At 33.2% G+C, this 25,184-nt stretch overlaps 1 protein-coding gene and 1 long non-coding RNA gene across 24 annotated transcripts in view; one reads left to right on the forward strand and one right to left on the reverse strand.

Moving 5' to 3' along the window:
- Positions 1-25,184, forward strand: part of NAALADL2 (N-acetylated alpha-linked acidic dipeptidase like 2) — a 1,369,567-nt gene that overhangs the window by 769,668 nt on the left and 574,715 nt on the right. For all 23 annotated transcript variants that reach the window (XM_017006077.3, XM_047447876.1, XM_017006075.3 and 20 more), the window contains one exon: positions 23,282-23,555. In XM_017006077.3, coding sequence (XP_016861566.1) covers positions 23,282-23,555 — 274 coding nt within the window. The remainder of the gene's footprint in view (positions 1-23,281; positions 23,556-25,184) is intronic.
- The window catches only part of NAALADL2-AS2 (NAALADL2 antisense RNA 2), a 36,005-nt gene continuing 35,263 nt past the window's right edge, over positions 24,443-25,184 (reverse strand). Inside the window, exon 3 of the long non-coding RNA NR_046713.1 lies at positions 24,443-25,160. This is a non-coding gene — a long non-coding RNA (NAALADL2 antisense RNA 2). The remainder of the gene's footprint in view (positions 25,161-25,184) is intronic.

A 25,184-nucleotide genomic window follows, 5' to 3' on the forward strand; every position in this document is an offset into this window, starting at 1 on the left:
AAATAAGAAAAAAGGGAAAAGGTTTAAAAACTTCCCTCAAAATAATATGAGATGACCAATTTTACATGACTGTACAACTCTACAAAATTGAGTAATAAAGGTAAAAAAAAGCATGGTTCCTAATCCAGTGCTCTATTTACCATACTGCCTATGTCATTTAAAAAATGTTTTAAATTTCAAAATTTAAAATATTAAAACATTTACTTTAAAACTTATATGCCTTTAAAATTACTATGATTATAGAGGCTGAGCAGGATTTATTTATTTATTAATTGACATTTTTCATACTTACTATATTTGACTGGTGTTTCAATAAGACCTAATGTTTTCCATGCTGTAAAATTTTATTCACAGGAAATTAAATCTAACATTTGAAACAAAAAGGCCCATTAGCTCAGAGCATTTTTAATATTCTAACCAGGATAGAAATCCCTTAATTAGGCCAAAGGATTAGAACTTTGAAATGGAGCAGTTTATTTCAGTAAAGCTTTTGGGATGAGAGAAGGTGGGGGCATTGCTTCAATCTAAAGTGATACACATTTTAATTTAATCTATTGAAACTGCCTTGGAAAAACACCAAATAAATATAGATACTTCAGAATCTTTATTACGTTTTATGCACATGCTCAAAAATTCTCTTGGGGAACAGGAACTTGAATAGTGGGCAGAATTTAAATAGTGTAGGTTTCCAGGGAAGGCATTCCAGATGGAAATGAATAATAAAAATAATCTAAGGAGAAGTAGCTCAATGATTATATTTGATCAAAGGCTGACACTTCCTATTGAAACTAGTATATTCTATTTAGAGAAAATATATTTGTCTTAATTTTAGAAACATGCCTCTATTTTATACTAAAGTACCTCTGTATTTAAAACACTTACATATTTTACTTATAACAAAATGATATGTTGGCCATTCCTACAGATTCCTAACTTACATTGTCATTCATATTTATATAGTGTCATCTATTCCCTGAAATGTTGGCATCATTAAGGTAGATCTTGGATGTATTCCCTCATGCTTTCTGGTGCCAATTTAACCCGGTGTGTTTAAATATATGGGACTTGCTTGATTAACAAACAAGAGTTAATCCAAAGATAACACATTGTGATGTGCAATTATATTTCTTAATGGAAATAGTATGTACAAGGAAATGCTCTTAAATTTTCTTGTTTTATTCTTAAAATAATGTATTCATTACGAAAAATATTTGCCCAAATCAAAAATGATTAGTCCTCCCATTTTGTAATAGCAGACATACTGATGCTAAGGAAAAAATTCACTCACTCACTAAAAATTTCTGCTTAACACAATAAAACAGCCACATATTAAAAATATCGTATTTTTTTGTCAGGATAGTTGACATCATTCAGACGCACCTGTGGGATAACTGTTGTAATGTTTTGTTTTTGTTTTTCTCTTTCAAGAGAGTAATTTAAATGACACTTTATTACTCTCCCTTGAAAAATAATAGCAGTAAAAGTAGAACAGATGAAACACATTAATCTAGAATTGTTCTTATTACCTTTAGTAATAAGATTCCTATATGGTGCCCATGTCCATTAAGAAGGCCCATTAATGCTAGTTTATTTCAAATATACTTTGTAGAACATCTATACACTAGAGAACTATCAACTCACAATCACATTACTATATAAGAGTTAATTAATCAAGTCATAGTAAGGTAAAAAAAAAATGAGTTATATCCCATTAACTAGTAACACAGAAAACAAAGCTAAAAGGGTCTGTTACATTTATGTTAAAATTTGATTATAGGATAAAATCAAATTTACTGAAGATATACAAAAAGAAATCATATGGTAAAACAGTACATCTTTCCAGATATAAATAATGACACACATCAGGAATCAGGAAAGACCATGAATCATAAATTTTCTTCATTTTTTTTTCTTCTTCCCTCTCCTCATCCCCTTTCCTCCTCCTCCATTTTTTCTTCCTTTCTTCCTCCTTTCCTCACTTCATCTTTTCCTCTCTTTCCTCCCTTTGTCTCTGTTTTCCTTGTTCTCTTAACTCAGCATTGATTTGTTGGTTACCCACTATGAGCATAATTTTAAGTCAGCTTTCCCAGAAATGAGCAGCTCTAAAATAAATGTAAAAGCCTATTTTTACCTAGACTTAAAGAAATAACAAAAGAGTTGCTGATTCAGAAAGTTCGTATGAAATACTTAAATAACGCAGAAAATTGGTTAAAGCTTTACGAGCCAGATGCCAAGTTATTTGCAGGACAGAGTTTAGAGTTGGCTGATTTGTGCCAAAATGGCTCTCTGGAGTGGGTGAGTGGAGCAAGTAGTGGTGGTAGCAGTGCATATGGCAGCCTCAGGTGATACACAGGACTGGCTGAAATCAGTGCAAGCCTAAAATAGAAACTACTTATTGAGTGCTTATGCTTATTGCTTATTACGCAATTTACAAACATTAATGCTTTTGATTGTAACAGCAACTCGGTGAAGTATGAATCATTATAAGACATTTGTGCTTCCAAGAGGCTAAATAACTTGTCCAAGATCTCGCATTTAGTTAGTGGAAGAATCAATGCCAGACTGTCTCTGAATCATCCAATAGGTGGGAGTAGATCAGATTAGCAATGAAAATAGAGATAGGCTGTGACAAACCTAAACACTGAAAAATAAGGTTTGGTCTTTGTCCTACTAGATATTAAGGGAGGTTGTAGGGAAGTTATGTAATCAAAACAAAATTTCCACTTCTTATCTCTGGAGCTTTTTCTCAGACCACAGGGTCACCAGTGTCAGGTCATGTAGGAACTAGTGCTATCTTCTAGTGTTATGGAGATATTCATGGGAAATTAGGCATTTGATATATCAAAATCAAATGAAGACACACAGCTTTTGAAGGCATGGAGACATACACAGGACATATATCTGCTCTTGACCTGGGAAAGAACAATCTAGATAGGTAACTATGCATTTACATAGTGTAGTAGGTACAGAAGGCAGATGATGGTGAACTGAGCACTGGATGAGAACTGAGTAGGCACTGTGCTAAGTCCTTTATAGGAATTATTATATTTAACCATAGCAACCCATTAATATATGTACTGTTATTATCTCCATTTTCCAGTGAAGCAACTGAGTCTTAAGGGTCTTTAATAACTTGCCCACAATCATTTAGTTAGTAAGAGGCAGAGTAGATATTTGAACACGATTTGTCTCCAGAACCACACTTTTGATCCCAACATTAGCATTTCCCCTTCTCATATGACATGGGATATCCCATTTATTTACAACTCTACACCTGTGGACTGTAAGAGGGAACTCCTATGATTAAACCAAAATGCAGTACTCCATAATGGTTTTGTTAAAGTAACGGGAAGAAAATTTTTGTGAAAAATTTGTTCATTAGAATACCATTATTGTATTTTCTAAGAAAAATATACTCAATATGAGCCAACATGCCCATTTTATGTGAATGACTTTTTGAAACAAATGAAGATATTTGGAGAAGAAATACTGGCATTGCTTTTATGTTGATAGGTTGTGTTTATTATTGTAATTTACATGACAGCATTTTTACCTAATAAATCAATGGTATTCAACTTATAGTTTACATGAAAGTAATAAAAAAAAATTGACACACTTCTTGGAAACCAGTCATTGATACTGTGTTACCTTTTACAACAAAGCTGAAAATTCTGCTGTATTTTCTGCTGAACTTTCAGCAATGCTGTAAAAGCCTCTGTGTCTTTCAGATGAAACACTCCTTCAGTAAAGGATGGATTCCGTCATGACAGTTATTTATCTTGAAAGGCTATAAACCTTTGGATTAATTGCATGTTTTGTACAAATGTCAGTTACTGATTTGATTTTGATAGATCTATTCATGGCTTGTCTGAGCTTTAGGTGAATTAAATTATTGCTTATCATCAGTCTTCTTTGTCTGACCCCTGAAAAATAAAAAATCAGATGTCATCAGAAAACCATTTTTTTCTTATAGAGTCTTCTACAGACAAGAAACATATTATTGTGCTGTTAGAACAATGAAGGTAGTAAAGGCATTATGAATGAAATTTGAGCTAATTTTATTCATTCCTACTAAACTGGGTAACTTTAATTGTGCCAATATTTTAACAAAATGTAGTTAATAAGGATATGATTTCATGTTCACATATTCCTTGTTAATTACAGCCCTAACCATTAGGGTCTGCAATCCAGCAGTACAGACATTCTTGTACATTAGTTTGGATCCTTATACATAAATGCTTGATTTTGTTGTGGAGTTTACTTGACACACACAAAAAAATATACAAGGTATTTTTGTCAATTAATGGGGTTTACTAATTCACTACATGTTTATGGTACTTTAAACTATACGGACTAATTTTTATGAGCTTATTTAGTGGTTCTCAGCCACCACAGCCCTCTTTTTTTCCCAAATGAAGTTACTTGATATCTACAAGTAGTAAAATCACCATAACAACTTCTGAAATCAGTCACTATTGAGGGGTGATATGAGAGTTTCTAGTTAACTCAATCTTCCTGAACCTCGGTTTTCTCATCTTTAATGTTCTGATGCTACTGTTTTTCAGGGTTGATGTGAACATTTATAAGTCATGATTATTATTACTGCTAATTCATTAAAAATCAGAGAAATATCACCAACAAAAACTTACTTTTCTTTCAGATCACTATCGTGTCTTTTTTCTTTAACAACATCCCAGCACTTGAATCATACCCTTGTCTCCTCCCACGATAGCATTTTTCCATACATGTCTTGCTCTTCTATGTCCGGGAGCTGAAGACCTGCCCAAGGATTAGAAACCTGTGTTGGAGCCGTGCTTCTTGCTCTCTGATTACCTAATAATTGACTGCTTACCTGGATTTTCCTCATTGCCCAGTGTTAAGTGTCTCATCAGCAGACTTTGCACACCTTTCAGACCACTTCTATGACTTCCTTAATGTCTGTTTGAGGATCCTGGCCTCAGAAATTCTGCAAATAATGCTTCCTAACCACTGGATAGAAAGTCATCTTAAGATTACCTGCTCACTCCTGGAGGGGGTACAGTTGTCTCCATATACCTAATTAATGAATTCAGTTCTTAAATTTTTGCCACACAGGCCAGTCGGCACTCATTCCAATGAAAACTTTTAAAACAGTCTGTCAATTCAGGACCTGCTTTTTTAAATATAATTGAAATAATTCTTCTGGATAGTGCAGAAAGTAAGACTGAATGGATGGGTCTAGTCAGATAGACAGGCTAGGTGCTAATAAACATACTTCTGAAGAAAAATGTAGGACTAGGTGGAATTACCTCTTTAGAGGTAATAGAATGATTTCTTTTCTATTAATTTCTATGACATGATGACATGTCAGTAGATCCTTAATGGATGAATAATTTTAGTGCCAATTTGTAATCATCCTTTCCAAAGATAACTTAAATGCATTTTCTAGCATGCCAATAATCTGTCACAAATGCACTGCCTGGATTCTTATTTGATTTGTAAAATTCTTTTGTGATTTTAGTATGACAAGAAATAGTATAAATGCACACATAAGAAAAAAGATGACCAATTTTGAATATTATGTACCGTGATTCCCCCTTCCCCTTGCCTCATCTTGTCAAATATAACAGTTTTATTAATATTAAAACAAAACCAAATTTTGCTGTGGCCATCTCTTTAGCCTAATTTTTGGTTCTGTTCATTTTTAGGAAATCAGTTCAATTACCTCAGACTTAATGAGGCTTTAAGAGAGTATTCAAATACTCTTCATTTAAAGATAGATGCAGATAGTTGCAACAAATTTATGGAAAAGTAGATAGTTCTTTCCAAGACTACTTTTCTAAGGTCAGAGATCACATAACTAAAAAGCCTACTCAGGCAGGACAAGGAGATAATATAAATAAGTGAATGGTAAGTGTTAGACTATTGGGGATGGAGGTCTTTAGTGAGGTACAGAACTCTTGCCCTGTCTCAAATAGACAAACATTCTCCCATTCCAGCAGATGTTGACAAGCAATTTTTTTTCTTTTTTTTTCTTTTCTTTTTTTTTTTTTTTTTTGAGAAGGTGTCTCGCCCTATTGCCCAGGCTGGAGTGCAATGGTGTGATCTTGGCTCATCGCAACCTCCACCTCCCAGGTTCAAACAATTCTCCTGCCTCAGCCTCCTGAGTACCTGGGATTACGGGTGCCCCCCACAATGCCCAGCTAATTTTTGTATTTTTAGGAGAGATGGTGTTAAACCATGTTGGCCAGGCTGGTCTCGAACTCCTGACCTCGTGATCTGCCCGCCTCAGCCTCCCAAAGGGTTGGGATTACAGGCGTGAGCCACTGCACCTGGATAAGAATATTTAAATGTTGGTAAAACACAAGATATGGGAACACCCAATGTAATTTGAAGGAAACAAGTTTTCAACCTCTGGAATGTATCTAAAACATTGATTCACAAATGCTTTAGGTGTTTTGCATACTCTTGTTTTCAGATCATGGATGGCAACATAATTGAATTAATGAAAAAAGAACAATTTTATTCACTTCATTTATTTTTGGTTATGTATGCAATGAGTATACCCCAGCTAGGCACATATGGCCAAAACTTACACAGGGAGGTATAAATGCATATAAAAATCAAGACATTTCAGTTCTTGAGAGAAACATGGAGGAAAGCTCGCCCAGCAACAGCATGCGTTCATTTCCAGTTTGCAGTCCTTGCAGAAGCTTTGTGTTTCCAAAAATATCAGGCAAAAGAAGCAACTCCGCTTTGTACCACTTCCTTGCTTAGGAATCAAATGTTTTTTATTGTGTTCATTTCACATGTACCAAAAATTAGTTCCAGCATTCCCAAACAGCATGATTTAGTTTGGAAATAGTTGCATATATTTTTAAAGACTCTAAAAATAGTCTGCCGGGCATCCACGAGAAGTAATACTAAAGGTGGCAATTACCAGAAGTTGCTTGGTTGGTACTTATTTCTCAAGTTAGCTTAACAGTGTTCAATATAATTATGTAACATTATTAGGGCTGTGAAAAAAGCAATGGCTGACTATAAGAAATATCAAAGCTCTAGTTTTAACCACATACCAACTCATGCATTATGTGGCCTTTAGCTAACCATTGAACCAAACATTGAAAACAAGCTTAAGAAGCCAAACAAGGATTTGGAGTAACAGGCTCTAAAGAATTAAATCATTTCCCTTGAAAATTGGCTTGAGTTTTGTCTTCATTGGGGTTTGTGTTTGTTAGGAACATCTAGATGCATTGGCTGATGAGAGAAATTAAATCAGTTTGTACGTATAGAAGCCATAGAAATGACAGTGACTATCAAATAAAGGGCAGTGGGACATGAATAGATAGTGTCTGTGCTAATTTAGCTGTCATTAATGTATAGCCTGACCAAATTTCTAGAAAGTATTGCAGTGAATTTCAATGTTTTTTTTTGGCTAAATTTTTAGGATAAAATGAAGCACACTGGATGAATGGTGTGGCTTGATGAAATTAAGGTAATCAGCTTATTATTTATAAGCCAATATCTCTAAGAAGCACAATAATCTTATTCAAGTTTTAGTTAGTTTATATATTATGTAAATTCCCAAGAGGAGATAATTAGTCAAAGGATACTTATTAAAAACCAATGGGTTATATACAAAAGAAATATGCAAAATGCATATCAGAGTGTCTAAAATGCTTCACAATATTTTAAATTTATTCTAACTGGCATGTCCATCACATTATGAAAAATCTTAACACCCACTGATCAAAGGTAGCCTCATGATAAGGTAATCTGAGTTTTCTTACAGGTGATATTGTTCCAAAGGAGGTTTGTTTGTTTTTGCTTTTGTTTTAAACTCTTTTTTTATCCAAATATAATATATATGCAGCAAAGTATACAAACCTTAAGTTAAATTTTATAAAGTGAACTTACCACCTAGAGGTCTCCCACTTGTGCACCCTCTCAAGTCATTAGCTGCCCTCAAATATAACAGTTATTTTCACATTTATAATCATGAATTTGTCTATTTCTTAATTTTAAATGGAATCATTAAATATGTGCTTTATTTTGTCTGAATTCTTTCATTGGCTATATCTGTGAGACTTATCCATGGTGTTGCATATAAAATATTATATAGTAATAAAATGAGTGATTCATCCTATTCATTTCATTATTTTATTTTATTTTATTTTATTTTGTTTTGTTTTTTGAGACGGAGTTTTGCTCTTTTTGCCCAGGCTGGAGTGCAATCGCGCAATCTCAGCCCACTGCAACCTCTGCCTCCTGGGTTCAAGTGATTCTCCTGCCTCAGCCTCCCAAGTAACTGGGATTACAGGTGTGAGCCACCGTGCCCAGCCATTCATTTTATTACTGTATAATATTTTATTATATAAATATGTGGCCAAATATTTATACATTTTATTACTAACAGACAATTGAGTCAGCTCCAGTTTTTTACTCTTGTGAGTAATGTTATATATTATTCTAGTAAATGTCTTCATATACATATATATGCATTTTTGTTGGGTTTATACTAAAGACTATTATATATTCTTGCCAGCAGAATATGAGAAATCTAGTTAGTCCATATTTGGCCAACAGTTGGTATTGTTAGTTTTAGTTTGAGTTTTATGGTAGTAGTATGTCATTGTGTTTTTAATTAGCTTCTTGGTAACTAAATATGTTGCCTCATTTTCAAATGGTTATTGTTCATATAACTATTTCTATTTTCTGGGAGACCACCTTAAATCTTTTTGCCATTTTAAAAATTGAGTTTTCTCATAATTTTTCTGGAGATGTTTATATTATCTGGATGAAAGTCTTTCATTACATATATTTAATACAAATATCTTGAACTCTATTGATTACATTTTCAAACTTTTATGGCATCTTTAATGATTATAGCTTTTTAATTTCAGTGAAATCCAGTTTGTCAGTTTTGTCTTCCTCGTTAGCGGTTTCTCTTTTGTCTAACCAAGATAGTAAAGATGTTCTCCTTTGTTATCTTTACTGTTTACCTTTATAATTTAGTTCTATGATTCATCTGAAATATCATTACATATGTTTTAGTCTTTTTGTACTCTATATTCTGTTGCTTTGTTCTACTTGTCTGTTTGGCATCATAGTGCAAGTCAAATCTGGGGAACAATTGACATCTTTACAACCTTGAGTTTTCCAGCTCATGAACATGATATATCCCTCCAATTGCTGAAGTCTTTTAAAATTTCTCTCAATAATAGTTTGTGGTTTTCTTTCTTTTTTTTTTTTTTGCCTATCTTTCAACAAGTGTATTTGATATTTTAATGCTATCATAAATAATATTTTTTCTTAAAATTTTAATTTTCTAATTGTTTGTTATTTTAATGCTCTTTTCCAAACTTAGGGAAATAATCTTTCTTTTTTAAAGTGGTAAGTCAGAATGTTTGATTTTTGAATGTTAAATCATCCTTGCATTACTAAAACAAATGCTACCAGGTCATAATGCACTTGTCTTTTTATATAAATACAATTTATAAATATTTTATTTGTAAGTGTTACAAGTATATTTATAAAGGATATTTGATGATAATTTTTCTTGTAATATTTTTGATATGTTTTGATGTCAAAGTTTTGTTGCCTCATAAAAAGTTTTGGACAATTCCATTTTATTGATTCTTGCATGTGTCTGTTATAACTGATTTCTTTTTGAAATATGTAAAACAATCTAGAGGATAACTGGGTTTGGAAAGTTTTTTTTTCTGGGAAGGATATAATATTATAATTAACTATATTTTTAAGTAGATATTGAATATTTAGATTTTCTTTTGTGACAGTTTTTTAACTTAGATTTTTAAGGACATTTTTCTACTTTACAAAATTTTTAAATGCATTGCCATAATTCCTGTCAAAATATATTCTTATCTGTTTAATACCTGTAAGATCTTTTATGATGCCTTGCTTTTTCTTCTTAAGATGGATAATTTGTGCCTTCTCCCTCCTTCTTTTTCTTTTCATGAATAGTATTATCAGAGCTGATCAAATATATAGCCAGTAATTCCCTTTGATGAGTTTTTCTTCTGTATACTTGTCTTCATTTTTATTCATTTTTGCTATTATTTTTATTTCCTTTTTAAAAATTTGAGTTTTTATATCATTGCCTCTTTCTAATTTATTTAAATTGAATCTAGATCGTTTATCTTTTTCTTTCATTTTTAAAAAATACATTTGCTTAAGGCAATACATTTCTCTAAGCACTGCTTTAGCTGATTCCCGCAAGTACTGTTAGGTATGTTTCCATTATCATTCATTTCAAGATATTTTAGGCTGGGCGTGGTGGCTCAAGCCTGTAATTCCCAGCACTTTGGGAGGCTGAGGTGGGCAGATCACCTGAGGACAGGAGTTCAAGACTAGCCTGGCCAACATGGTAAAACTCCATCTCTACAAAAATACAAAAAAATTTAGCCAGCCATGATGGCGAGTGCCTGTAATCTTAGATACTTGGGAGGCTGAGGTGGGAGAATCACTTGAACCCAGGAGGCAGAGGTTGCAGTGAGCCGAGATTGTGCCATTGCACTCTAGCCTGGATGACAGAGCAAGACTCCGTTTTAAAAAAAAAAAAAAAAAAGATTTTTTAGTATTCTATTTCACCATAGACTTATTGGTTATTTAGAAGGCATTGTTTAATTTCCAAGAAGCTAAGATTTTCTACTCCTTTGTTATTTCTTTCTAACTTAATTCCATTGAGTTCATGGCATATATACTGTGTGGTTTTTGGCCTCTCGAAGTGTATTGAGACTTGCTTTATGGCCTAGCATATAGGCAATTTTTGTAAACATTTCATGTGCACTTATAAAGTTATTGGGTATACTTTTCTGTATATGTCAAATTGGTCGACTCATCTATTTTCTTGTTTTTCTTTTTCTGCTTATTCTATTATGTACAGAGGAGTTTGGTAAAATTTCTAACTTTGATTGCTGATTTGCATTTTTTGGTACCTTCAAGTTTTGCTTTATAAGTTGTGAAACCTCTCTTATTTAACCAGATATCAGGACAATATATCTGTTTTTATTTAATAACTCAACCACTACAGCTACACAATGGCTTCCAGTAGTAGATATTCAGTGGTTATTTTTATTTCTTTATTTTTGTAGAGTAGATATTCAGTGGTTATTTATTTATTTATTTATTTATTTATTTTTTTGGAGATGGAGTCTCGCTCTGTCACCCAGGCTGGAGTGCGTGGCTCGATCTTGGCTCACTGCAACTTCCACCTCCCAGGTTCAAGCCATTCTCCTGCCTCAGCCTCCCAAGTAGCTGGAACTACTGGTGCTCACCACCACACCTGGCTAATTTTTGTGTGTGTGTATTTTAGTAGAGTTGGGGTTTCACCATGTTGCCCAGGCTGGTCTCGAACTCCCGAGCTCAGGGAATCCACCTGCCTTGGCCTCCCAGAGTGTCAGTGGTTATTTTTGTGAAAAAAAATATAGCTGAATATGAGTGTGAGAATAGGTATCCCATGGCAAAGTCCAGAAAAATGTACTTGGCACAGTGTAGGTAAGAGTTGACCATTGCCAAAGAAGTTAAGATGGTTTTGCCAGATTCTCCCATACAGAATCTTTTGTATTTCCTTAGATGTAGTAGATATTCAATAGGTACTTGTTGAAATGGTGAGAGTTATAATACATTTGTTTGTTTCTAAATCTGGGAATATATTAGCCTTCTATTTGTGCTTTCATGAACTAGATTAGTATGACTTACACATAGTAGGTGGTATGAATCTAGGCACTCACATTCACACAATGACATCTTGTGACCTAGACTCAAAAAAGGTTCAACATCTCTAGTATTACTGGAAAACTTTAAATTCTCTGAAATGTTTCCTACTCAGCTATTTTTCAGACTTGATCCTGACAGCTTGCTCTGCCAACCTTCATTAATTGGCATGTCCATAAGCAGAACAGGAAAACGTGTGTCATTCAGTGTATTCTTAGAAACCTCCCATTATTGTCTACAGGAAACATGAAATGGAGCAGTGGTTCTCAACATTTTGGCCTCAGGACTCCTTTACATGCTTACATACTATTGAGATCTTCAAACTGCTTATGTTTTTGAAAGTTATATATGTCCATATTTAATTTATATGGGATTAAAACAAATTATAAAAAGATATTAATTTATTAAAAAATAAAAATTCCATTACATGTTAAGAATACAACATTTTATGAAAAAATATTTTTCAAAGAAAAAACATTTAGAGAGAAGAGTGGCATTGTTTTATATTTTTCAAATCTCTTTACTGTCTGGCTTAATAAAACACTGCTAGATTCTCATATGTGTTTCTGCATTCAACCTGTTGTGGTATTTTTCCTCCAGCTTTATTGAAGTATAATTGACAAAATTGCATGTATTTAGGGTACGCAACATAATGATTTCATATATGTAGACATTGTATAATTACCACAATCAAATTAATTAACACATTCATCACTACCCATAGTTACTCTGTGTGTGTGTGTGTGTGTGTGTGTGTGTGTGTGTGTGGTAAGGACACTGTTCTCTTACCAAATTTCAAGTAAATAATAAAATATTATTAACCATAGTCACGAATTTGTACATTAGATTCCTGGTATTTATTCATCTTATTACTGAACGTTTGTACCTTTTCATCAATACCTCTCCATTTCTTCCACCACCATATACCCCTACCTCCCGGCAACCACCATGCTACATTCTGATTCTATTAGTTTGATTTTTTTTTTTTTTCATTTCACATAATTGAGATGATGCAGTACTTGTCTTTCTGTTTCTGGCTAATTCGATATTAGCATAGTATCCTCCAGGTTCATCCATATTGTTACAAATGGCAAGATTCCTTTATTTTGATGGCTGAATGAGAGAGTTCATTTTATAGATACCACATATTCTTTACCCATTCATCCACTGATGGACACTTGGGTTGTTTTCATATCTTGACTATCATGAAAAACTATACAATGAAGATAGGCATGTGAATACTTCTTTGAGATAAAGATATAATTTTCTTTGGATATATACCCACAAGAAAGTATATAAAAATTTGAATCCAGTGTCTAGAACTGTACATTAAAATATCATGAACTGTTTTGAATTAAAAAGAAAGATGTCAAATAGGAGCTTTATAAGTCCAACCATAAAATGAAGCTAAGTTCAAGTATATTTTCTGATGCAGTTTTTATAATATTCTCAGTACTTGGGACAAATCATTTAGGAAAGAAAGAGAAGAAGGGAAGTTACATTTGTAAATGTCTGGAGGTACTAGAGACTATGCTAAGGACTTTACATATGTTCTAAAAAACTCTAAATGCTCTAAGAAACTCTATAAAATGTTACTGTTCAACATATTACAATGTTGAAACTGAGGGTGGACAATTACAATGTTGAAACTAAGGTTTAAGTTTTGAAGAGAAGGTGAAGGTTAAAGAAAGACAGAGAGAGAGTTGGCGGCTCTACAGCAACACAGGTCTATTGCAAGCGCAACCTGCAGAGGTGGGGACCAGGTAAATGTCAGAGCCCACTGAGGCCTACAGACTGGGATAATTATAGGTCTGGGTGGGAGTAGTCTGGGCGGTTTGGCTTGCTGCCCGGAGGATATTGATTAGATGTTCTTATGATCAGGCAGTTTGGCCCTGTTTCCAGCGGACTGTGATAGGATGTTCCTGGGATGTTTGCCCAGCAGGATATGATAAGGAAGTCAGGTGGCTGGGCAGGATGTGTCTCACAGCCCGAACCCCTGTGAAATGTTTGACTGTGGCCAGGACCTGCAAAATGGCTGAGGACTTACAAAATGGTGCAGCTTGGACTAACAAGGGTTAGAATGTGTTAATATGTATAAGATCATCTAGCTTTTATGCTTAAACCAGAGGTTAAGCCCTCCTTTGCTGAATCCAAAATCTAGAATTATTTTACTCTCCATCCTCCTCTTCCCAAAACTCCCATCTCCACCCACCCACTCCCCACTGCCAAACTTTTGCTGAAAGTCTGCTCTTCTGGTATCATGGATAATTCATTAGGTTCAGTAGACTAGGTCCTGGCCTGATAGGAATAATGTATATCAGAAATATACCATTGTCAATGCAGCTTATTTCTGGTCTAGCAAGAAACCTCTTTTTTCTTTCTTCATGTATACAATAGAGATGAAGCACGTAAATAACTTATTCGAATACCAAAATGTGTAACATGCTTCAAAACACGTTTTATCTCTATTGTTTTAGAACTTATAATTTTCGTTTTTGTTTTCATACTATCATTACTTCCAAAGGCCAGCCATCTCTACAGATTGATTTCGATGTATTTCATAAGTTTGGGTGGGTTAAAAGTTAGTTGTCTCATGATTTTTGTAACCTGACATGTCAAGACAAGTTGATTTAATTGAGATGATTTCAGTGTTTGGTGCTGAAATGAGTCTGCCCAGGAAGGAAGGTAGTCTGGGCTAACAACTGAAAAATAACATGTAAGTTCTTACTAGTTTTAAATATTGTTCTGACATAATCATTATAATTTATTGTTCTGGCATAATCTTAACCTGTTTGCATTGTCGCAGAGAGATGACATCTAAAAATTATTTTAAAAATATATCTTCCCCATTATATAAAATTACCATTACATTTTAGTCAGTCTTGCAGAAGAACTCAAGATTCAGTTTGCTGTATTAGAAAATAAACTAAAATAAGTATATAACATCTTAAAATTAGGTTTTCAATATAGTCTTAAAGGTATATTTACTTAGTAAAAAATATTTCCTGAACATTGATTGTGGTTACCATTTACTAAGTGCTAGACTTCTATAGTTGAATTTTCAGGATGTGTTAAAAAGGGTAAGACTACTACCTGTCTTTTAAAACGCTTAATTTTTTAAGATTACTGAAAGAGATTAATAATCTTTGTGTTAATGACAAGAAAAGGGAATCTTTGTTAGTGTTTAATATGCTTATTTTGAAGTGTGGTAAAGTAAATATGCTTATTTTGAAGTGTGATAAAGGCTAGTCATTTCTATTACAATCTTATCAAAATGGAAAAACTTTCTCCCAATTATTTATTCAGTTATCTATTCACTTACTTGAAAAAAATAGAAATAATGACTCTTTTTATCAAAAGTTTCTGTGTATTGACCACCCAAGTTTGAAGACTCGTATTGTCTTACTGATTGGATTAATTTGTCCATTCCGTGAGTCTGCTTTCAGATACCCTATTGTGTTCTTCTCTCTTGAAATCCAAATATGCACTCACTGTTAACCAGAGATGAAATTATCTCCTGCACAAATGTGTGCAAGAGTGAAAGATGTAGAGTTATAATACTGGATTTTTTTTCTGGCACAGGTAATAGTAGATGTGTTGACAGTTTGTTATATTTCTGTGTGCTCTGGTTTTTAAATCAAGCTTATCTTACTGTCACGTGGAACATAAATTGATATAAATACCAAATCAATTAAAGTATTTGTTGAGTATCAGCTTTTTGCCTGGGACTTAAGTAGAGGGCACTGAGCCCATCAGCATGCCTTCTATTACTTGTAGAGCAGGCAGATATGTACCATATTTTCGTTGATCAGAAGAGGAGAGACTATTACGTTCTCTGGCAGATAATCCATTTCTGAACTGATTTTTAAACAGAATGTATAAAGAATCTGTTTTCTTCTTCTTTGTTCAGATGGTTCCCAAACTGTGAAATTCATTCTATTGTATTTTTTACATTGCTACATTAATTTCCCTGAGCATCATTTTCTCATGAGCATAAAGATTTATTTCCACCTACCTCTTACTATCTAACTTTTATTTTACCCAGATACAGTGCTTTCTAACACTCATCATTTTTATTGCTTTTGGAAAGCATCTCAGATTGGGAAACTAGCTGCTTTTTCTAAATAGCACGGTATAGTGGAAATCTGAGATTCAGTGTAGAATAGTAGAAAACTGACTTATTTAATCTAGGACGTTCAACATCTTGATTGCATTATCTAGCCTTCAATTTCCTTATCTGTAAAGTGGCAACCATAGTAGTTATATCAAGAGTTTTTTGTGATGATTAAGCATAATAGTAGACATTTAATATAAAATTTGTAGTTACTATGTTATTTTAGAAGGTAAGAAGTAGTTGAACAAGAAACCATTGTTTCATTGGCATGCCATTAGTGGCTCTGTTGCAAGGGAAGGCTACGGGATGCTGCCTTTCCCTCTCAACCATTTAATTCCTTGCTGCTATGTTTATTACAGTTTATCATGTGTTTTAATCTTAATATTTTCAAAGCAAAATTATGAGATTAAAAGGTAATTTCATCCTATGTAATCTTTAAATTTATCACACATATATAGTACATGATTAGCAGAATTTTACTACATTGGATACCAATTCAAATAACAACCTAATGAAATGTTTGACTTTTTAATACTATATTAGAAATATCACCCGGTATAGTATGAGTATCTGCATATGTTATTGTAAATACACATAAGAAAATGTTAATAGGCATTAATAAATGTGCTGATTTTTTCCATGTGTACTTCTAGTTCATCGTTCTTTAGATGTTTTTGTTCCCCATTCATTTACAGTATACTCTTGGCATTCAACCTGGTGTTAGGAATACTACATGCCTGGCTTCCTCCAATTCTGACATCACTGTTGCTCTGTGGCTCATACAGTAGCAGGTGTTGAACATTGATATAAACAGAATTTTGTCTACTAAAGCCAAAATTCTCCCATTTCTAATCTCCATTGGCCAATGGAACATTAATGCCAAAGTTACTTCCAAATTCAAGTCTTAGGCATGACAGTTCATTATGCTGCCTGCCAAAACTACTGGCCCGTGGAAACCCTTATTTTAAAAAGTAAAGCACAGTAAAACACTCTGTCAAATAAATACCGTGTGATTTTAGGTTATACCCTTCAATTTTTGCAAATTTCTCTGAAATTAGTAAACTTAGATTATATTGCAGTTAATTCTTTAATAGAATTTCTCATTTAATACAGCAAACTACCTAATTATAGCAGAGTGGTTCACCATAAATCCTGAAACATTTATTGTGGGGAAAAAATGTATAATAAACTGTTGACATTCTCAATAAAATCTATTTATTTTAACATTCTAAATGATTTGAAATGATTAATAAATAGAACCCTTTGACTAAACCATTTGTAGCTGTAAGACTGTGTCAAAGAAGGCTGATTTAAAACAATTTAAAAATTACATAATTGTAGAACTATGAACTCATATGATCTCCTGAAATCATTTTCTTAAACAAGAGAAGCATGTACATTAAACTTGATAAATTTAAAATAAAATTTTAAACGGCATCAGAATTTAAAAGTAATCTTAGGAAGACTACAATTTAAGAGTTATTTTTAAACTTATGATTAACTATTTGAAATATTGCCACTGTTTATGAAGAAATCATATTTTCTAGAGACCAGTATTTCTACAATCATGTGTATCCAAAAACTTTGTTATCATCTTTTAGTATGCATTTTTTATTGATATACTTGTATTTTCTAGGTTTCTATAAAGGTGTGCTCATATTCCCTTGAATCCAGTCAACAACCAGAGTGTAGGAGATTTGAATAATCTAATCTCTAATTGGTGAGATAATGTGCCAAATGGTATCACCTCAATCAATTTTGAACAAGTATCTATTCTATTATGAAAGTCTGTGGAAGAAACAGCTTAGGCCATAATTCTTAACTACTTTTCCAGAGTTTTCCCCCTTGGATATTGTGGGAGTAGCAATCAATATCTACAAAGAAATCATGTCTAAGGTGTTATAGTGCATTTCCATTTTGAGTAATTTGTTAATAGATATTCTGAAAAACGCATATATGCTGAATACATTATAACATAACTACTTTGAAGGACTACTATCCTGAGGTGACAGAATCATAAGAGAAATTCCCAAGGAAAAAAAAAAAGTACTATGGCAGATGATGAAACCAGAAACCTAGAAATTAGAAAATTTATGTAAGCTAGCACGGAGTGCAATGAAAGAGCTGTGATTCAAAGAATACATTTTAAAAAATTCTTAAATTAAAATCATTAAATCAGCAGTTCATAGTTCTCCCATAATGAGAATATCAAGTACAGACAATTTTTAGTATAAGAAAAGTTTGTCTTTTAAAAATTCTAATAATATCCAACCTCTTCTAGAGAGTAGATCGAGAAGGAAGGCTTGCTATCTCATTTTGTGAGATTTGTATATTACAAATCAAAATCAGAAGTGATAGTTGAAAGGAACATTACATGCCAAATTTACTTTTAAAAATGGATGTGAAAATAATAAAATATTTGCAAAATATATCACATGATAGCTAAAATTATAATTCATTATAGTAGTCCAGCTTATTTTAGGAATGCAAGTTTACTATTTAAAAAATTTACTAACGTAATCCACCAAATTAAAGAAATAAAACATACAATTGTCTTAATAAATGTATCGGAATTTCTGACAAAATTTAATATGCATTCATAAAACAGCTGTTAACAACATGAGAATGGAAGGAACATCTTTAACCTGACATATACATTATAACATGGATATCTACTATCACACATTAATATTTCTTTAAATATTTTCTGGAGGTCATAGCCTGTGTAGTAAAACAAAAAAAAAAGTTAAATCTCTAAATAATTAGAAGAGATATAATAAAACCTTAATTATTTTGCATGTGATATAATTGTTTTACATAGAAAAAATGAAGAAAATTGTTATGATTAAAAAGAGAGTTTAGCAGGTTTTCTTTATAGGACAACTGAATAGTATTCCACTACACCAGCAATAGGAAATATTTTAATTTTAAAACATATTTTTATGTTAACATTGACCAAACACTTGACCATTATCTTAATTTGTTCAGGCTGCTATAACAAAATGCCTTAAATTAGATAATTAGTAAACAACAGACATTTATTTCTTATAATTCTGGAGGCTGGGAAGTTCAAGATCAAAGTGGCTGTGGTATCTGGTAAGGGCCTGCTCCCTCATGGATGGTGCTTTTTAGCTGTGTCTTCACATGATGGAAAGATAATATAATATAATCACCTCCCAAAGACCCCAACACTTAATACTATCACCTTGGGGGTTAGGATTTCAACATATGAATAAACATTCAGACTACAGCAATAATATTAAGGATTTATTGATATATTATTATAAGGATGGCATTTCTTCCCAAATTGATCTTTAGTCTCAATGTAATTCCAGTCACAATGTTGGCATGGAAATTAGTGAGCTCATTCCAATATTCATATGGAAGATAAAAGGAAAATAGTTAAGATTTCCTGATGAACAAGTAGTGTGACTTGCCCATTCTGTATATTAAGACCTATAATAAAGTTGTAATAATGAAAACGGCACATTATTATGGATATGGAAGAAAAAGACAAATGGAATTGATTTGGGAACTCAGACACACCCAAACACATATGGCAACTCATATACGACAGAGTTGTCATTGCACATTAATGGGGCATATTTGACAAGGGGTACTAGGACTCATGTTGGAAAAAGGGAAATTGGATTCCTGCCTCCTACCACACACCTGCTCACACATACACACACATTCTCCAAATAAACACTGAAATGTGAAAAACAACTCCTTAAATTTTTTAGGAAAAAAAATGAGAATAACTTCATGACCACAGCATTGAGGATTTCTTAAGCACATCAGAAAATGTGAAAACAATTATATTAAAAGCTCTATGCATTAAAATTATAAACTTTTGCTTATCATAAGACAATACATTGCAAATAAAAAGAGAAGACAAAAACTAGGATAAAATATGTGCCACACATATGACCTAAAAAAGATTATTCAGAACATACAAAAACTTCTATAAATATAGGCAAAAACAAGAGCAGTTATTCTACATGAAAGGAAACATGAATAGCTAAATAATACATGAAAAGCTCCTCACTGGTAATCATGAAGATGCAAATTAAAACCACAATGGGATATAATTTTACCCTCATTGTAGAGCGGAAATTAGATACAGGAGCAGAGGGTGGTAAAGGAAGCCTTGGAAAACTATTTAGTATATCCTGCAATCCGGCAGTTGTACTTCTGAGCTAAACACATAATGAAATATTACTTTACACTCACTACATTGACAAAAGTATAATATAAAATAAAATTTAAAAGTAAAATAAAATAATGGACAATACCAACTATTGGCGAGGAATGGAGGAAGTAGAACTGTCATAAAAAGATGGCAAGAGTGTAATCAAAAATCTTTTAAAGGCATTTTGGCATTTTGGAATAAAGTTACACAGGTGCATACCTTATGGACCAATAATCCCTTGCCTAAAGAAACTTTTGCATATGTCTATCAGGAAACATGAATAAGAATATCCAGTGCAGCATTGTTTACAATAGTGAAAAGCTGAAAACAACTTCAAAATATTTATCTTAGGAAAACTGATTAAAAACCTGGAGGAATCTCAGACACCCAATATTGAGTAAAAAAGGCAAGTATGAAAACCATATATAAGATACCAATTTTGTAAAAGTAAAAACACTTATAATTAAAGAAATTGTTAAAGAGATATACATATATGTATATAAACCTATTAAAAAAAGACAATGGGAAGCAACAAAGTCAGATTGATGCTACCCTGGGGATCAAGGTAAGTGATTGAATAGAGAAAAACTATTCTTGGGGCTTTGATAATATTAGAGATCTTCTTCTTCATAACCTGGGTGGTTCCTTTCACTACTCTTTATACATCGTATACGTTGTATATTATCTATGTGTTTAAATTATTTCATATTATTAAAAATGATGTAATAAAGTACATATCCCATAAATTAAAAGTGAAGTAAAGACTGTATACATTTTTTCACTCATTAATTTTAGCTTAATACTGACAAATATTTAGAAATCCTCCACAATTGGGAAAAATTACTAATTCTTCAGTTGAGCCCTAAAAGAAGTATTTCATTTGCCTTCGAGGCCTTATAGTATAAACATTCAATGTTTTCAGTTGCTTGCACCATAAAGCAACTGAGACCAACAAAAGGAATGGCAGATTAAACATCTTGCACATTCCCTGGTGGATTTATGTTCATCAATTAACAGTGTAGAGGAGCAAACAAAATATAAAGCAGTCTTCGCATTTTTCTTCTCTTTGTCTGTCAATGTTACTGATATATTGCTATGTTTGTATAAATAAAATATATATTTTGAAACCTCATTTTATATGGATTTTAACAGAATAAGGTATTGGTTCACCTTTGTAAATGACTTTCCTGTCAAATTGTGTTGTTTTTAACTCAGTTTACCTGCTCTATCCCAAAAATACAGAGAGAATGCAATAGCAATGGAGAAAGGGGGTAGGAAAAGGTAGAGAACAGATAAAGTAACAACAACAACAAAACAAGGTGGAAGGCAGAGCCCTCTTACTGGTAATGAAAAAGAATATAATTCTTCTCACCAGCTATTCCATAAAATTTAGGTGGCACTGTTGACTGATCCAAGTAGATATTTAAAAAGAAGAAGGAGAAGGAGAAAGAAGGAGAAGGGGAAGAGGAAGAGGAAGAGGAAGAAGAAGGGGGAGGAGGAGGAGAAGGAGCAAGAGGAAGAGGAAGAAGAAGAAGAACAAGAAGAGAAGAAGAAGAAGAGGAAGAGGAAGAAGAAAGAACAAGAAGAAGAAGGAAGAAAAGAAGTGGGAAGAAAGCATGAATAGGAGTAGCTTCACAAAGATAGGAGATAACCGAGAAACTGTTTTTATTGCATCTTCCTGTGTAGGCCACCTTGTAAGCTGTGGCCTCAGACTTACCTTTTATCTTGTGTAATGCTTTTTTACCACTATTGTGTCTGCTTCTTATGTCTTTTCCAGGCATGTACTGTTGCAGGGGTGTCCAATCATTTAGCTTTTCTGAGACACACTGGATAAACACAAATTGTCCTGGGCCACACATAAAATACATTAACACTAACAATAGCTGATAAGCTCAAATAAAAATTAAAAAAATCTTTTACAAAGTCTCAAAATGTTTTCAGAAAGCTTACGAATTTGCATTGGCCCACATTCAGAGCTGTCGTGGGGCCATATGCAGCCCACGGGCCATAGGTTGAACAAGCTCAGTTTAGGAGTTGTTGAATAAACAGGGTCCTGGAGGAAGTAAGTGAGAAAAATAATGTGATGGGCAAAAATAACAGTAATATCAAAATAAACACTTAGGTAATAACTTGTATAGCAATAAGATTCTTTTAAGAAGATACATTTTTGCCCCAAAAGGAAATTTTTCTTTTTAGGTCCCTTTTTATTAATATTTCAGCCACAAAATTAAAAAAAAACTTTCTCAGGATTAAATTATTTTTATTAAGTTCTCATGTCTGATTCTGTTCTAGGTACTATACAAAATTTTTAACAGATTTGTCTGGCTTCTAGTATGTCATAAGCAAAAATCGTGTCATTGGATTATGGGATAGGTATAGAAATAAATATACAAAGTACAGAAAGTACAACACAACATTAATTTCCCATTGGTTTGGCAATCTCTGTTTTTGTTTCGGTTTTATTGGAAAACATTGTGCTCATAGCATCATGTAATTTGGCATAAAATTTGTATCTAAACAGCTCTCTCTGTATTATTTTAAATAGCAATAACTATATGTCAATCATATTGTTTTAAATGAAATCACCTTAACTATAACAAAGAAATGTCTCAACTGGAATGACACCTAGATTTTGGAATGGACTTTTAAGTGTATTATGTTGATGTTGATAGAAGGATCAGAACTAATAGAAGATTTAGTTAGCATTAATATCACTCTTCTCTGCAATGCCATAGTGCTGTATTAGTGGGTTTTTTTGTTTTGTTTTGTTTTATTTGTTTGTTTTTCTTTGGAGAGAGTCTCACTCTGTTGACAAAGCTGGTATGCAATAGTTCCATCCTAGCTCACTGCAGCCTCCGACTCCCAGGCTCAAGTGATCATCCCACCTCAGTGTCCCAAGTAGGTGGGACCACAGATGCATACCAGGACATCAGGCTAATTTATTTTTTAATGTTTTGTAGACAGAGGTTGTCGCTATGTTGCCCTGGCTAGTCCTGTGCTTAAGCGATCCTCCCTCCTTAGCATCCTAAAGTTCTGGGATCACAGGCATGAGCTACCACAAGGGCCGTCAGTTCTTAATTTAAGAAACTAATTCATTCCACTTTGTTTTGTGTTTATGTTTCATGTGATAGGGTCCTGTCTCATTCATCTTTCAATATTCCACAACATCTATTAATATTGTTCATATATTGAGCAGTCATATCTCAAAAGAATAAAGTATTCTCCTTTTTAAAAAAGTTTTCTTTTCAAATTTATTTCAGAAATTTGGTACAACTATATAAAAATGAAGATGACATGGAAATTTCAAAGAAGATTAAGACTCAGTGGACCTCTTTGGGCCTAGAAGATGTACAGTTTGTAAATTACTCTGTGCTGCTTGATCTGCCAGGCCCTTCTCCCAGCACTGTGACTCTGAGCAGCAGTGGTCAATGCTTTCATCCTAATGGCCAGCCTTGCAGTGAAGAAGCCAGAAAAGATAGCAGCCAAGACCTGCTCTATTCATATGCAGCCTATTCTGCCAAAGGAACTCTCAAGGTAATATGACCATTTGTCTCTGTCATTTACAGTGAGATGGAATTAGAAAATAACAGCTTTCATCTAAATTGAACTAACTGTCAAGATGCAACATACAAAAGTAACCATTAAATCTTTTCAGTGTGGAAGTGCCAGGAAAGAGAAGGAAGATGTGGCCCTCCTGACCCTTTTCTTGTCATATTTTGAAAGTGAAAACATGTTAGAAAAATTTAATTCAAAGGTGTTGAATGTGTGACTGAGTCATTCACATTTTGCTCTGTCCATATAGTGCAAGTCTATTTCATTCTACAGCTTTGGAGAGGCAAAATTTAATACACTGATATAGAGAAAGGGAAAGAAATGGAGAGGGTTGTGTTTTGAGATTGTGCACACACAAAAGAAATTAAGTGGAAAATTGATATGATTATTAACACATTTAAGATTTGAAACACAGCGCCCCTACTTTCATGATGGAAAACACATGTGATAAGCCAGGTGTGTATTAGTTCTTCACCTTTTCTGGGTCAGCAGATTTATGATGCAGTTTTTTTTTTTGGCATTGTGGTTAAGTGCAAGGCTTCTAGAGCCACATGGACTAGTTTTAAATCTCAGCTCCCCAGTTAACCACTGTTACTTAACCGTTGGGAGGAAACGGGCTGATTTCCTCATCTCTGTATTGGAGTCAATAATAGTTCCAACTCATAAGGTTGTTGTGAGAAAAAATTACAAATATATGTAAATCTAGGAGGACAGAGCATAGCCTATAGTAAGAACAATATACAAGTTAGATATAACAACGTGTAATTGGTCAACAGTTTCCTTTCTATGGACTAGTTTTCTAACTCTATGTAAAAGTGTAATTTTAAAAAATACACTTAGTTTTTTTTTTTTTTCCATCAAACTGTTGATTGCCTCATTTAATACCAATGAAATAATGTTATCTTTCTGACTGTTGTTAATGGCACAAATGTTTCAGAATCTAACTTATTATTAACTTTGATTGATATATGGAATGTTTAAATCATTTAAAATTACTTTGCATAAATATTTGAAATAATAACAGTAAATGCTCGTTCCTAATAGATCTTGGGGGAGTGGGAGGGAGAGGCAGATTTTCTGGCAGTCCAGCATCGTTTCTATTCTGTATATATCACACTTTGACTTTTAGCCAAAGAGCTGCATATAACTATTACCACCTTGAAATGTCTTACCATTAATTAAACTTCAATATAATATTAAATGTCTGCAATATTTCTACTGTAGGACTCATATAATTTGATTGGATTAATATTATGCTCTTTCTGGCAGGTAATAATGGTAACACACCTGTATATTAATAAAAATAGAGGAAGGCAACTGTCACTCTTTCCTTGATTCAGAAGCTTTGGCCTTAAGCCAAGACTCTAAAAGTTACCCCGATATTTTATCTAAAACTCTTTACTCTGTCTAAGCCATACGCATTTTCAACCTCTTCTTTATCCCAGTTGGCTCAGCTCATGTCTTCTCCTAAACAAAAGCATGTCTTAAACACAGAACATTCACAAAAACACCAGGAACTTGAGTGGATCCTTGGAATCTTCCCCATCTCTTTGCTTTTCAATTTCCGCTGGTGAACATTGATTATTCCTTGAAGAAGGAGATACGCAAAAC

Source organism: Homo sapiens, chromosome 3, assembly GCF_000001405.40.
Source record: "Homo sapiens chromosome 3, GRCh38.p14 Primary Assembly".
NCBI lineage: Eukaryota > Metazoa > Chordata > Mammalia > Primates > Hominidae > Homo > Homo sapiens.